Genomic DNA, 13,663 nt, shown 5'->3' with positions numbered 1-13,663 from the left:
AAAGTATAATAAAAAAAAGAAAAGAAAAAGAAAAAAGAAGCATATGCTTTTCCCTTAAATTTGTAGGAAATTATATTTTTTTATAAACTCATTTCTCTTCAAATAATAAAATGACTAAAAAAAGCATCTTGAATGATCATATTGTTATAACAATGAGTTTTTTCCTTGTATGTTCAAAGGACATAATCTGATATGAAAAGCCTTCACTAATATAATTATTTCACATGAGATATCGATAGTAGCAGAATATGAATTTTTTTTTGGAAGGATGAGGGCAAGAGAAAAATAACTTAAGGGAATAAGAATCAAATTCTGTCCTCAGGAATTTGAAAGCCTCAGCATCTATTTTGGAACTTGTGGCTTTCACCACGCAGCAATGAGGAGAATGGGTGACTTGTGAAACATCCACTCATGTTCCAGTGGAGAAAAACATGATCAGTGCATCCTTTTTGAATGGGCTTTATTTATGGATACAGTTCTCAGAGATCCTGGAATGTCTTTGCTCTGTCCTTCAGCTGCTGGTTTGAGGTAGGCTGCCACAGGTTGGTGGCAGGTTTTTCAGAGGTTTTCTCTGAAGCAGTTTTCTTAAGCCCATGAGGAAAGGCCAGTGACACAGAGGGCTGTGGGCTGTGTAAACATCTTCCTGCTAATGTCTCAAGTGTTTAACAGTGGAAGATTTCAGTTTTGGTTATAGCACTATTTCCCAGGATTAAAGGCTCAAGTTTGAATTCAGTTAATGACAAAATGATTCACTAGGAGGTAACTTGTGTGAGAGACAGGCCTTTGTCTTGTTCTCTGCTGAATGCCTTAGAATAGGTCCTGAAATAATATCGGGCATGTAGTAGGTGCTCAATAAGTATTTGTAGAAAAAAATGAATGAATACTTTTTAAAGAATTGACCTTGATTTGTTTGACACTCTGGTGCATGAAATTATTAGAAACAAAAAATGTGTGATGCCTTTTATTATGTGTTGACCCCAAGATAATCTTACCAAATCTCACAAAATGTGGCAAAAGAGGGTATAAGAAAAAAATCTTAGTGGAAAGTTAAGTATTTAATGCAATAAAGGAGACAATACATAAACTAATAATAGTAATGAATGCTCATTGAATATTTACTGGAACCATGCAATGATCTAAGTGGTTTATCTATATCATCTCATTAAATAACAGCCATATGTTGATGTGTGAATCAGGCATTGTAGATTAGTGGTTGAAGACAGACTTTGGGGCTAAACATTCTGGGTCTAAATTCAGGCTCTGATACTTTCTCTGATAAATTCAGGCAAGTTGTTTACCTTCTTGGTTTCTAAATGTCTTTATCTGTAAAAAGGGGGAAATAATACTTTCTGCCTTATACAGCTGTTGTGAAGGTTAAATCCTAGAAGAGTACTAGGCATGTAATATCTATCTGTCATTCTCTCTCTTGCTCATGCACAGTGCCTTGTGCAAAGTAGGAGCTAAATCTTAGCAGTCATTTTGTGTTACTAATATCATTCCCATTTTACAGATGAGAAAACTGATGCCCAGAGAAGTAACTTCCTCAAGATCACGCAGTTAGTAGCTATTGAAACTAAGGTTGCAATCTAGGTAGTCTAACTGAGTACCTTTTGCTCTTAACCTCTGTGCCACTGTGTCTCCTCAAATGAATGCGCTGAAAAGGTATTTAACTCACTCTTAGTAATAAACTACTCCTAGAATTTATTCAATAATTTTCAAATGATAATTTGACACTTCTTGACTGGAATATCATTTTGAAGATTTCTGATGAATAAGTACAGGTGTTTCTGTAGGTTATTAATAAAAATATGCTATTATTAACCCAGTTGCCTGATTAATTTTAAGAGCCAATGCACTAGAGAATGATTGCTATTTTCTGTAATTTAGGCTTCAAAAATTGTTAGTAACTAAAAATAAGCCTCATCACAGAGAGACCAGCTTTGCATTCATTTGACACTAGCAAATTCTTTATGTTCAATTCCCTATCTGAAGTGGTAGATCCTCAACAATAGCTTGTAGTTTAGGATATATTTATGCAGATTCTGTATGGCACAAGGAAGGGCACGATCATCTTTCAGCGACAGTATAAGAGGCGGATGCTTTTGAAAAATGGTTGAACCACACATTTAATTTAAAAAAGGGTGAGAAAATAACATGTATTACTAACAGTGCAGGCTACATTTAAGTAGTAAATAAAAAGAAATTGTGTTTGTTTTAATGTTGAATTGCCTTTAGTTGCATCAATGGTATGATCATGAAAAGGATAAAAAAATCGATTATTTAATTTCCAAATCTCCCCTCAGAGCAGTTCAGCTTTGTAAGTTTAAACAGTTTGTGTAATCTAGCCAAGTATGCCAAATACGGCATAAAGTGAAAGACAAACTTCAAAAAGGTGATTTTTCATTAAAAACTACAGCCATTTTTCTTCCTGAAATCAGCCAAATAGGCTTATCCAGGTAGATGCAGGCCAAGGTCAAAGTGAGAAACTTTTTGGCAAATTAAACTGGACTTGTTAGGTTTAGACACTGCCCCTACCGCAGTCATTCCATATCACCGTAGAGTCCCCATAGCACCACAGTGAACACGGGAGGAAAAACTATTCTAAAGAAACCTGTATTTCTGCTCAGAAGGCTCAGATATTTTTGAAGCTTCACTTCTGTATTCAAATTTTCCCAAAATAATCTGAAAAGTTAAAAGTAAATTAGTATACTGAAAGCAGAATTTCTCTGCCACTGAGGTTATGCTTTCTTTAATTCTTTTATCTGTCAGTCTCTTTAATTTTTTATCTGTAGCATATATTTTTGAGCCTCCTTATGTCTACTTGGCAGGTACGGAGCTAAGGTGTCAAGAATGATTCCACGTCTCAATTTTTACATAGAGTAATCATACAATTCTCGATGCATGTTTGGTATGTATGGGGGCAATTACTGATAATATTAACATTAATTTATGCAGAATAAGAGAAATAGGTTTAATTTGGATACTACAGGTCAGTGAATAACATTTAAAATGTGTGATTCTGTAAATGGAAAATAAACTCTTATTTAGAAATAAATCATAAAATACTGTTTGGTTATATATAAGGCAAAGCAACTTTTTGCTAGATATTGTTCTATTTCTCTGAAATCTCTCCAGTAGAGAGCCTTAGCACCTCTGTTACCTGCCTCCCTGAGCTTCAGTCACATTCTTAAAATGGCAGCTCAGGCCACAGGTTCTCTGTAGGAGTTACTGCTTTAGCAGAAAATGCCCTTCCCCACTTATGGGTTGGGTAAACTCTCTCACAGCCTCTCACAGGCATGGTGTTTCAGACATATGCCCTTACAAAACAACATTGTGTTTGCTCAGAACACTTATCTAAAGTTGTATTTACACATTCATTAATGAGGTAATCTGATGAATAACTTTTCCCCGCATTAGACTATAAGAGGGTCAGAACAATGTTGGTTTGTTTCCCAACTTTATCCCAAGGAGCCACAGAGTGCCTGGCATGGAGAAGGAAACCAGCAATCAGTAGTTGAGGGAGAAAAGAAAGAAAGAAAGAAAGAAAGAAAGAAAGAAAGAAAGAAAGAAAGAAAGAAAGAAAGAAAGAAAGAAAGAAAGAAAGAAAGAGATGGGGAGGGAGGTGCGGGTGGGGAAGGGAGGAGGGAGGGGAGGAAGTCAGGAAGGAAGGAATTAAGGGAGGAAGGAAGGGAGGGAGGGAAGGAGGAAGGAAGGAGGGAGGGAAGAAGGAAAGGAAGGAGGGAAGGAGGAAGGAAGGAAGGGAGGGAGAGAAAAAGGAAGGAAAGAAGGGAGGGAGGGAAGGAGGGAAGGAAGAAGGAAGGAAGGAATGAAGAGAGGGAGGGAAGGAGGAAGGAAAGAAGGGAGGGAGGGAAGGAGGAAAGGAGGAAGGAAGGAAGGAGGAAAGAAGGAAGGAAGAAAAGAAGGAAGGAAGAAAGGAAGGAAGGAAGGAAGGAAAGAAGGAAGGAAGGAAGGAAGATGAGCAGGGCTGGGGAGACTCTCCAGACAGATAAGATTCAGGCCAGGTTAGGCAACACCCATCCTATGCATGCAGATAGAAGGAAGCAAGGTTAAAAAATAAACAGAAAAATAAATTTAAAAAGAAGGCAAAAGAAATAAAATTGAGGATATTAGACAGGGAAAGGAAATTAATACTCACTGAGATCTATCTTAGTCTAGGTACTTTATAAACATTTCGGTCTGATGACCATCTTATGGAACAGGGATTTCTGAATCTTTGTTTAATAAGACCCCACTCGACACTAATGTCCTTCATATTATGCCGTATTTTTTTTCAGTCATCTAATTTTTTTCTTTATGACTTAAGTTTAATTTAAATTTTTTTCCCACAGGGAGTTACAGCATACAGATAATTAACGCAGGTTATCATATGCCAGCTATTTCTCTAAATACTTTGCATGTATTACCTTATTTAATCGTTAAAACAACTTTACTGTTATTCCCCCTTTACCAACAGGGAACACTAAGGCTAAGAGTTACAGAGCTAGTACGTGCAGAAGCCATGACTCAAACACAGGTAGACTCAAATTCAGAATCCTTGTGCTTAATTGCTACCTGATACTGCTTCTTTGTAGAGCAAGCAGATTATTAAGCAATCGAAGTGATTTGTCTTAGCGGTCTTTATTATTCTGACGAAAACGGTTTACTAGGACATACACATTAAAGCCATCTCTGTCCGCATCTGGTAGTGTTGACTGACAGCTGGTAGCATCCCAGAATCCTAGTCACACTGGGCCTGTCTTCCTATTGTCCCAGTGATCGCATCACCAGTGACTGGACATGACTGTTGCAGCCCTTGCTGGGGCATGAGTAGGGCTGGGGAGACTCTAAAGTCAGATATGATTCAGGCCAGGTTAGGCAACACCTGTCCTGGGCATGAAAACAAGTATCAGAGCCAGGCAAAAAAGTTTCCTGCTGAAATGTTAATAATTTGGCTGAAATAATAACCGTCTCAATAATAATGCATAATGATAATAATGCATAATGATTCAGTTTCCTTTGGTAGACATTGTCAAATTATTAAATCTTCTTTTTGGGAATAGGCAGGCCCTTTCTGGTTCTGCTTCAAATCTCTACCTCTCAATGGGAAATAAAGGGCTGAATTTTGGGTATGATTCAGAACATCAAAGAATGTTCAAGCTTAAAGAGTGCTTGGAGGTTGTGAATACAACAACCTCATTTTATAAGAGAGAAAACTAGGGCCCAGAGAGGCATTTTAAGAAGAATGAATATTTCTTTCAAACCTTAAAATGACTCAGAGAGAAAGACACCATGGAGAATAAACGTTTTTTATGTGCTGCCTTCACATTTAGTTACAAAACAGAGAAAACCAATGGGTAAATGATGGTTGCTATTAATCTTTCTACCCATTTTTACATTTTACTCATCTTCATAGACGTGAAAAGAAAGAAATGCCTACTCTCTGCTAAGGGAACATGTTCTCATGGGGCAGCCAGGGGCCAAATACCAGCTCAGTTGGGAGATGTGTAGGTAGGTTTATGTGGTCTATACCAGAGATACTCTCTGATTTGCAGGCTTGCATCAAGTTTAAGTAGATAATAAGGCCTGACAAGTATGTGTTGAGTGAGTGAAAGACTGCATAAATTAATCAGTGCGGAAGCATACATGAGGCTTCTCTCCTCTGAGGTGTATGGAATAGGCTGGAAGAAAACAATATACAATACATGTTCAGGGAGGCAGGTGCTTAGTGGAGAGGTGTCTCTCCAAGGAGGACCTGTTTGTACGTTGAAGAAAAAGTTTGGAGGCTTAGGATTTAAACTAGGACAACTTCTGGAAATAAAGGATGCTTGACAGAGTTGGAAATCCAATTTCAAACCCAGAGTAAGGGTGTCCTTTGCATTTCCCTAAAGCAGAAAAGTGTCTCTGGAGAAAGAACGCATGGGCTGGAATTGCAGACTTACTCCGAGTGGAAGGAGAGCCCCCAGCTGTGGTGGGTTGGCAGTCTCTGCTCTGCCTACCCCTTCTGTCCTGCTTGCTTTGTGATGACCCGGGAGCCCTGCCAGCTAGTGTCCCTGAGGGACTGGGTTCAAGCAATCAAGTGTGCCAGGGCACAGACGCTCCTCCTCAACCCAGCTTCCACCCGCTCGCCAAAAGCACTGAGCGTTCTGTAATGCTCAACGAACATCAAATTGACAATATTGGCAACATTTCCAGACAAGGCATGTCAAGGCCTTGTTTCTTAAAATACAGTCTCATATATGACAAGTGTGGTACAGGGTTAATGAGTTTTTGCAAGTTTTAGATATTGTATGTCTTACAATAGAGCACGAAATCTGTTCTAGGTCTGAAACAGTATTACTAATGTTAGAAGTATTTAACGTTTCTTTTAAAATACTTAAATCACTTGAAGTTTCAATTATGTATAACTTTAGGCCAACAACAACAACATCCACATTTCTCTAGCATACTGTAGCCTTCTTTTGTTTATATGTCAGTTTTCCCCATTTGACTATAAGCTTCTTGATGGTAGGAACCATGCTTTATTTTTTTAAAAAAGCTTTCTTGAGGTATAATATACATATCATAAAATTCAATGGTTTTAAATGTACAATTTGCTGGGCGTGGTGACTCGTGCCTGTAATCCCAGCACTTCGGGAGGCCAAGGCAGGGAGATTGCTTGAGGTCAGGAGTTTGAGACCAGCCTAACCAACATGGTGAAACCCCATCTCTACTAAAAAAAAAATACAAGAATTAGCCGGGTGTGGTGGTGCATGCCTGTAGTCTCAGCTACTTGGGAGGCTGAGGCAGGAAAATTGCTTGAACCCAGGAGTTGGAGGTTGCAGTGGGCGGAGATCATGCCACTGCACTCCAGTCTGGGTGACAGAGCGAGACTCCATCTCAAGAAAAATAAATAAATAAACGTACAATTTTATGATATTAGTACATTTACAGAATTGTGCAACTAGTACCACATCTTATGAAATCATTTCTATCACTCCAAATAGAAGTCCCCTGATCATTTGCCTCCACTCCCATTCCTACCTCCCAGGCTTAGGCAACCATGAATCTATTTTTTTGTCCTACTTATTCTTGAAGCCCCAGTGCCTCAGGAAATGCTTTAGTTTATTAAATTAATGTCTTAATTAATGAATTAATTAGTTACTAGGGACACAGTGCTCTCTGCTCAAGAAATCCAACTTTTCATTTGTATGCCAAGTATTTTAATCTGGCATCATCTCATTTCATCAGAACAACCTTGTAAGGTGGTCAGGGCAGGGTGATACTTCTTGAACATGATAAAAACAGACTTAGAAAGAGTGAGTGATATGCTCACATTTCCCAATTGTAAGTTATAAAGCCTTTTGACTACATAGCCAGTATTAACTCCATCATGGTCAAATTAGGGTGATAGACTATTGAGAAAACTTGGGGTCTACATAAATATATTTGGACCTTTATGTAGAACTTAAATAAAAACTCCCATTATCTTTAACCCTGTATTGATTTTATGTATTAAAATAAAAAAAATTTTACTTTAAAATGAGGTTTACACATGCATAATAACAGAGAACTTAAAAGAGTAACACACATTTTTCTCTTGTTAATTGGCAAATTTGAGAGCATGCAGCTTTCTGAGGACTTCTTTGTGTGGCTGATTGTTCAATTTTGTTCTTCATTTTGGGAGAGGATGCACAATCCACCTGCTTTTACATAGCCAAACTGATATAGGAAAGAATTATTAAAAGGCTTATAGAAGAAAAGAAAATTACTTTTTATTGAAACATACTTTAACTTGATCAAAATTATATTTATTTTGGTAATGTGTGCTATATTTTACAGACATATGGTTCTGTGGTAGAGGCAAGCATAACTTTCCTTTAAATGTGGTTCTGGTGGGTGCATGCCTGTGAAGCTTTGTTATCCTGTCCCTCAGGGCAGATTCTTGCTGGTTCAAGCAAAGGAAGACATAGTTCTTTGCCTGAAGTAAAATGGACTTCAGTTGGCAGCTGAATTTGTCCAGGACTTACAGAATATCACACAGGAGCAAGTCCTGCTTTCCCTGGAGATCCAAAAAAATTGAGGAGAGAGTGACTATTAAAGAATTTTAAAGCATCTCTGGGTTCGTAAAGCACTAATTCCTTTTTATAGAGCATTATTTGTAAATTACTACAATAAAATTTTACTTTACTCTTTTAAATCCTCAGCTCATATGTGTAATTTATCAATATGAATAGTTGTTTTTATAAGTTAGCTATTTTGTTTGTACTCTCAGCTCTCTGGAGACGCATATAGCTCCAGTTACAGTTACAGCCGCAGTTCTATCTCAATTATGCAAAATACACAAATGAAAATGTGAGAAAATTACAGAGACAAGCAAATCCATGAACAAGAACACATCTGTATGATGATAATGTTAAGACAGAGTCAGAGAATTTGAAAACTGGAAGTCATCAAGCCCAAAGATGAGAAAACCAAGGCTCAGAGAAATTGAATTACATGTGGAAGACGGAGGCAAGAAACAGATTTTGACAAAAGCCAAGAATTTGTTACAGCATTTATATTTTAATGAGTTAAGTAGATTAATTAATTTTAAAAATCAGATAACTGAATTATAGAATACAAAATATAATATTTTCTGTGGTTATAATTTCAGTTGTAAGAGATTGGAAAAATGATACATTTATATATTTAAAACTTTGCATGTGATGCATTTTAATACAACATCTAATTCTATGCTACCTTTCCTCATTTTAGGAAAACCCCTCACTTAGATCTTTGAATTAAATTTAATGTTAAAGTTGAAGTGTTTAATTTTTCTTTCATTCATTTTCTAATTAATTTTATAATAAATATTTACTGAGTGTTTGCTATGAATCAGGCATCGTATTGTGCTCTGAGACTAAAGCCAGAATAAGTCAGATGAGCTCCTTGTCCTTGCCCCCACAGAGCTTTCATTCTGGTGGGAAAGTAGATCAGGCACAAGAAAATAAAAAAGTGAGTAAAAATTTCTGATAGTGACATGAAGAAAACAAAAATGAATAATGGGATAGAGAATAGGTGGGTAGGTTATTTCAGATGAGATGATTAAGGAAATTATTTCTCTGATTTTTTGGGTGACATCAAGACTCTGGTTGACTCTGTTTTGGCTGTGCCAAGTTTGAGAAGACTCTCAGACAAGTAAGTGGAAATGTCAGAGAGGCTTCTAGTTGGGAGTCTGGAGATCAGAGAAGCAAATAAAAAAGGGCATTACCAGAAGAGATGGGATTTGAAGACATAGCATTGACTGAGACCATTTAAGGGAAATTATTAAGAAGGCTGAGAAGGGTTCTCCTAGGAGGGAAGAGAAAACCTGGAGAGTGTTGAGTCTTAGAATGCAAGAAAAGAAAGTTTCAAGGAGGCTGATCTGGAATGCTGGATCCAAAGCATGGAATACTGCTTTGAGGTAGAGTGAGAGGAGGGCAGATGAGATGTCATTGAATTTGGTACAGTGAGGATTTTGAATTTGGCAAAAACCGTTTCATTGAAAAGATGAGAGTGGAACCTCAGTAGGAATGAATTACAGTGAATGGGAGATGAAGGAAGTGGAGACCGTCCCTTTGAGAGGTTTTGCTATAAAGAGGAACAGAGAAATAGGCATAAGCTGGATGGGGATAACAGAGCCAAGGTGTTTGTTTTGTTTTTAAAGGGATATATTAGATCATGTCAAAAAGCTGGTGAGAATGATACAAGATAAAAGAAACAACTAATCATGCAAAGAAGAGAAGATTTGATGCAGCTGCTTCTGAGTGCCGGCAGTATGCTTAGCAGGGGAATGAGGACCCATTTGAGACATATGGTCATAAATTTAAAGGGATACCAGTCAGCATGATTATGTGATTTTCCCAATGTTTAGTTTCTCAGGCACAAGACAAAGATAGGACAACGCTGGTTGGTTGAGGTGGCTCACGCCTGTAATCCCAGCACTTTGGGAGGCTGAGGTGGGTGGATCACCTGAGGTCAGGAGTTTGAGATCAGCCTGGCCAACGTGGTGAAACCCCATCTCTACTAAAAATACAAAAATTAGCTGGGCGTGGTGGTGGGCACCTGTAATCTCAGCTACTTGGGAGGCTGAGGCAGGAGAATCGCTTGAACCTGGGAGGTGGAGGTTGCAGCGAGCCAAGATCACGCCATTGCACTCCAGCCTGGTGACAAGAGCGAAACTCCATCTCAAAAAAAAAAAAAAAAAAAAAAAAGATAGAACAAGGCCAATATATGGATTCAGTTAAAGTTGGAAGTTTTGTTGAGAAAGCGGATTCATTGCAAGGGAGTGTCATAGTGAAGGTACATGGAATTTGTACTAGTTAAAAGAAGAAAGTAAGTACCTGAGTGAGGTGATGGGTATTGTCAGTGTCACTGTATTAGAGGTTTCAGTGGGCCAAAGATTTAGTGGGATTGGGGACACTAAAGTGACTGTTGCAAGAATAAGAAGTGAGATGCTTAAAACCAAGCTTTCAGAGTTGACTGACATTGTTGATCAGTGGAGTGAAAAAACATAGCTGAGCTATGAGAGCCCAGACAAAAGAGAAAGAGCCTCCTGTTACCAAGATGGAGTACTAGGATTCCTTCAGCATAGGATTAGTCCCTATAATTTAGGAAACACTTAAAGATGAATTTTGAAATTAGGGGATTCCTGCAAAGATATGGCAATTATCTAAAGCACTTCTGATATAACAGCCAAAAGGCCAAAGTTCAGATCACCTTTGAAATCTCATTGTCACTAAATAATTTTGTCTAGGGATCTATATAATTTACTAATTGTGTGACCGTGGGCATTTTATTTAGTTTTATTGAGCTACACTTATAAATGTAGGATATCACCACCACCACCACTGTTATCACACTATCACCACTGTCATCACCACCATCACCACCATCATCACCATTATCATCATTACCACCACCACCGTCATCAACATCATTATCTTCCTTTTTATCATTATCATTGTTGTCATCATCAGTCATCATCACCATCATCATTGATATATATAGGTTGCCATAATTAATTTAGGGCCTTTCTATTGGCTCTGCATGGAACACTCTGTCCCTAGATGTATGTTCAGCAGATTATCTGCCTTCATTTCAAATGCTACCTTCTCAGAGAAACCCCGTAACTCAAGCTAAAGTAGGATCTTCATGCCTCTGACATGCCTTTATTCCTTAAACACCCAGTTTTTATCTCTTCTTCTTATTGTTATTTACAGATAGCATCTCCCTTTGTTGCCCAGGCTGGAGTGTAGTAGTATGATCATAGCTCATTGCAGCCTTTAACTCCTGGGCTCAGAGATGGTGTACATTTATTTGTTTACTTGTTTAATTACATTTATTTGCTTGTTTATTGTTTGTATAGCCTCTTTCAAGAAAAAAATTCTATGAGATCAGGGACCTTGCCTAAAACTAGAATAATTATCGGCTCATAGTAATGATAAATCAGTATTTGTGAATGCAAAGGTAAACTATAAAATCCTCTACCAAATGGCTACTATTATTATTAGGAGGAGACACATGACCTCAGTGTAATCAAATTAAAGAAAGTAACAATTTATAAGTCAAAGAAATGCAATTGATTTATACATTGTATTTTTGCAGCATGATTTTTACTTATTTTTTAAGGATCTCAAGATTTAGGTTTATGGAGTGGAAGATAAGTAATGGTCAACTCACTAGAGCTAATTTGAAACAATCAAGTAGAATGAATTACCTGTGACAGATGACAGATCATTAATAAGTACTCAGAGCAGAGACTGAGCAAACACGATATGGTTAGAAGCAAGGTGCAAATCTCCAGAAGAAAAAGGGTGCTGCCTCCTAACCTCCCTCATCCCCTCCACCGCCAACAGACTGGGAAGTTCATCCTGTAAGAATTATGGATGGCATCCCGACAGAAGCAAAGGCATAATCCTTCAACAGATGATAGAAACTAATCAGATGCAGAGAGATAAAACATTCCGGCCAGGAAAGGCTAATCTCATGGGTCTCCTTTTGGCTCTTATCTATAGTTATCATAATATCTCTTAAGGTAAATCCTAATGTAATTAAAACTTTTAAATCCTTAACATGGTAAGTTCTGTCCAGAATTTTTTTAATCTCAGCATCTGAAGGTGATTTTAATTTATCATACTCCAAAATATATTGGCTTATTAAAAATTCAGATTTTTCTCCTGTCCTGGTATTTTCTTGAGGGTTATTACTCTAGAATGACATTGAATTTGTTTTTTATGTTCAAACCTGTTTTAAAGCAACATAATTAATGTTTTATAAAAATCATAGTCAATTGGCAGATATATTCTTAGTTGAGAAAGACAATGTTAAATGAATTTTCAAGAAACATTTTTCAGGCATTTTCAGAAACAGTTTTAGTATAAAATACAGCACAGAAAAGCTGACAATGCTAACAAGTAAGTCATAAAGTAGATGAGTTTCTTGAAGTGATAATAGTTCAAAAAGCAACATTACAAAAACTCTCTTTAATTTTATACCACATATAATTTATGCAGGATATAGATGCATTTTAAGCTACCGTATATGAGATGATGTAGGACAAGGCGTCCAAAAATGCTAATTCCTAGGCTATGTAGGTCTTAAAATAGCAGATAATCAGGAGGATCTACATGAAAATAAGTTATAAAATAACAAGTATGGGAAATTGATTAAAAAAAGAATAACAGCTTTCTCTTACTCTCTTTAAAGTTTGTTTTTAAAATGAAAACTATGTAAGCATCTATTATAATTTTAAATTAAGTGTTTATTTTTGTCAAAGTGATACATGCATATCATTGAGAGAGGCACATAGTTTCCTGCTCCCAAGTCAACTGCTTTCAGGTCTAACTGATTTAAAAAAGAAAATCTAAATAAGATGCCTATTTGCTGCTTCTCAGTTATTCAGGCTTAGGCCTCATCTATTGTCTTCCTATTAGGAAGATGAGGATGTAGCTCCCTTTCTCCTTATTTCCCTGCCACGCTCATCACACACATGCACACACACACGCACACACGCACACACACACAAACACACATATTTTCCATGTCCCAGCTCTCACTCACCCGACAGATTTATAATTCATATTCAATGTTTCTATTATTAAGACCTTGTAAACTCCATCCTCAGATAAGCCAGCTACTGAGAAGAGTAGATGCTAATTGGAAGCTCTGTTAGCTAGATGGGCTTTAGGGCAATCTGGCTGGGTCTTTTCATGAGGAACTCCCCACATCCCCTCTGCCCTTATTTCTATGCAGTCAGGTGTTTATTCTTGGGCTGCAGATTCCTGAGAGAAGGCTCTTCCAGTGCCTGGTGGGTTTTTGGGAGTCAAGTGAGGGAGAGCTTACCTGTAATGTATTAACTTTCATTTTACCTGCCTGTTTTCAGTCCAGTATTCCTCCCTCAACTCTAGCCTTTGGGGACTACAATCTGGAAGCTCTCTCTGGCAGGCCTTCCAGAGAATCGTCCTCCAATTTTTGCCAAAGTGTGAGGCAAAGTGTGAGGCAATTACCTCGCATGCAGAGTTGGGAAGGGGCCCTGGGTGTCTAAATGCCTCTTAAGGAAATTTACAAGAAGGCTTTTGTTTTAGCCTCACTTCGCTTCCACTTCCAGAGGTGCCTGGAGCCACTAGTTCCTCGCCTTTTGGTCTGCAATATAAATCAGGTTTCT

General features: G+C 37.7%; 1 protein-coding gene across 9 annotated transcripts in view; it reads right to left on the bottom strand.

Annotated features, from left to right (window-relative positions):
* Positions 1–13,663, bottom strand: part of KCNQ5 (potassium voltage-gated channel subfamily Q member 5) — a 576,790-nt gene that overhangs the window by 253,578 nt on the left and 309,549 nt on the right. The window lies entirely within an intron of this gene.

This window comes from Homo sapiens, chromosome 6 (genome assembly GCF_000001405.40).
Source record: "Homo sapiens chromosome 6, GRCh38.p14 Primary Assembly".
Taxonomy (NCBI): Eukaryota; Metazoa; Chordata; class Mammalia; order Primates; family Hominidae; genus Homo; species Homo sapiens.
Note: the sequence above shows the minus strand (reverse complement) of the source record. Positions and strands in the feature narration are given on the sequence as shown.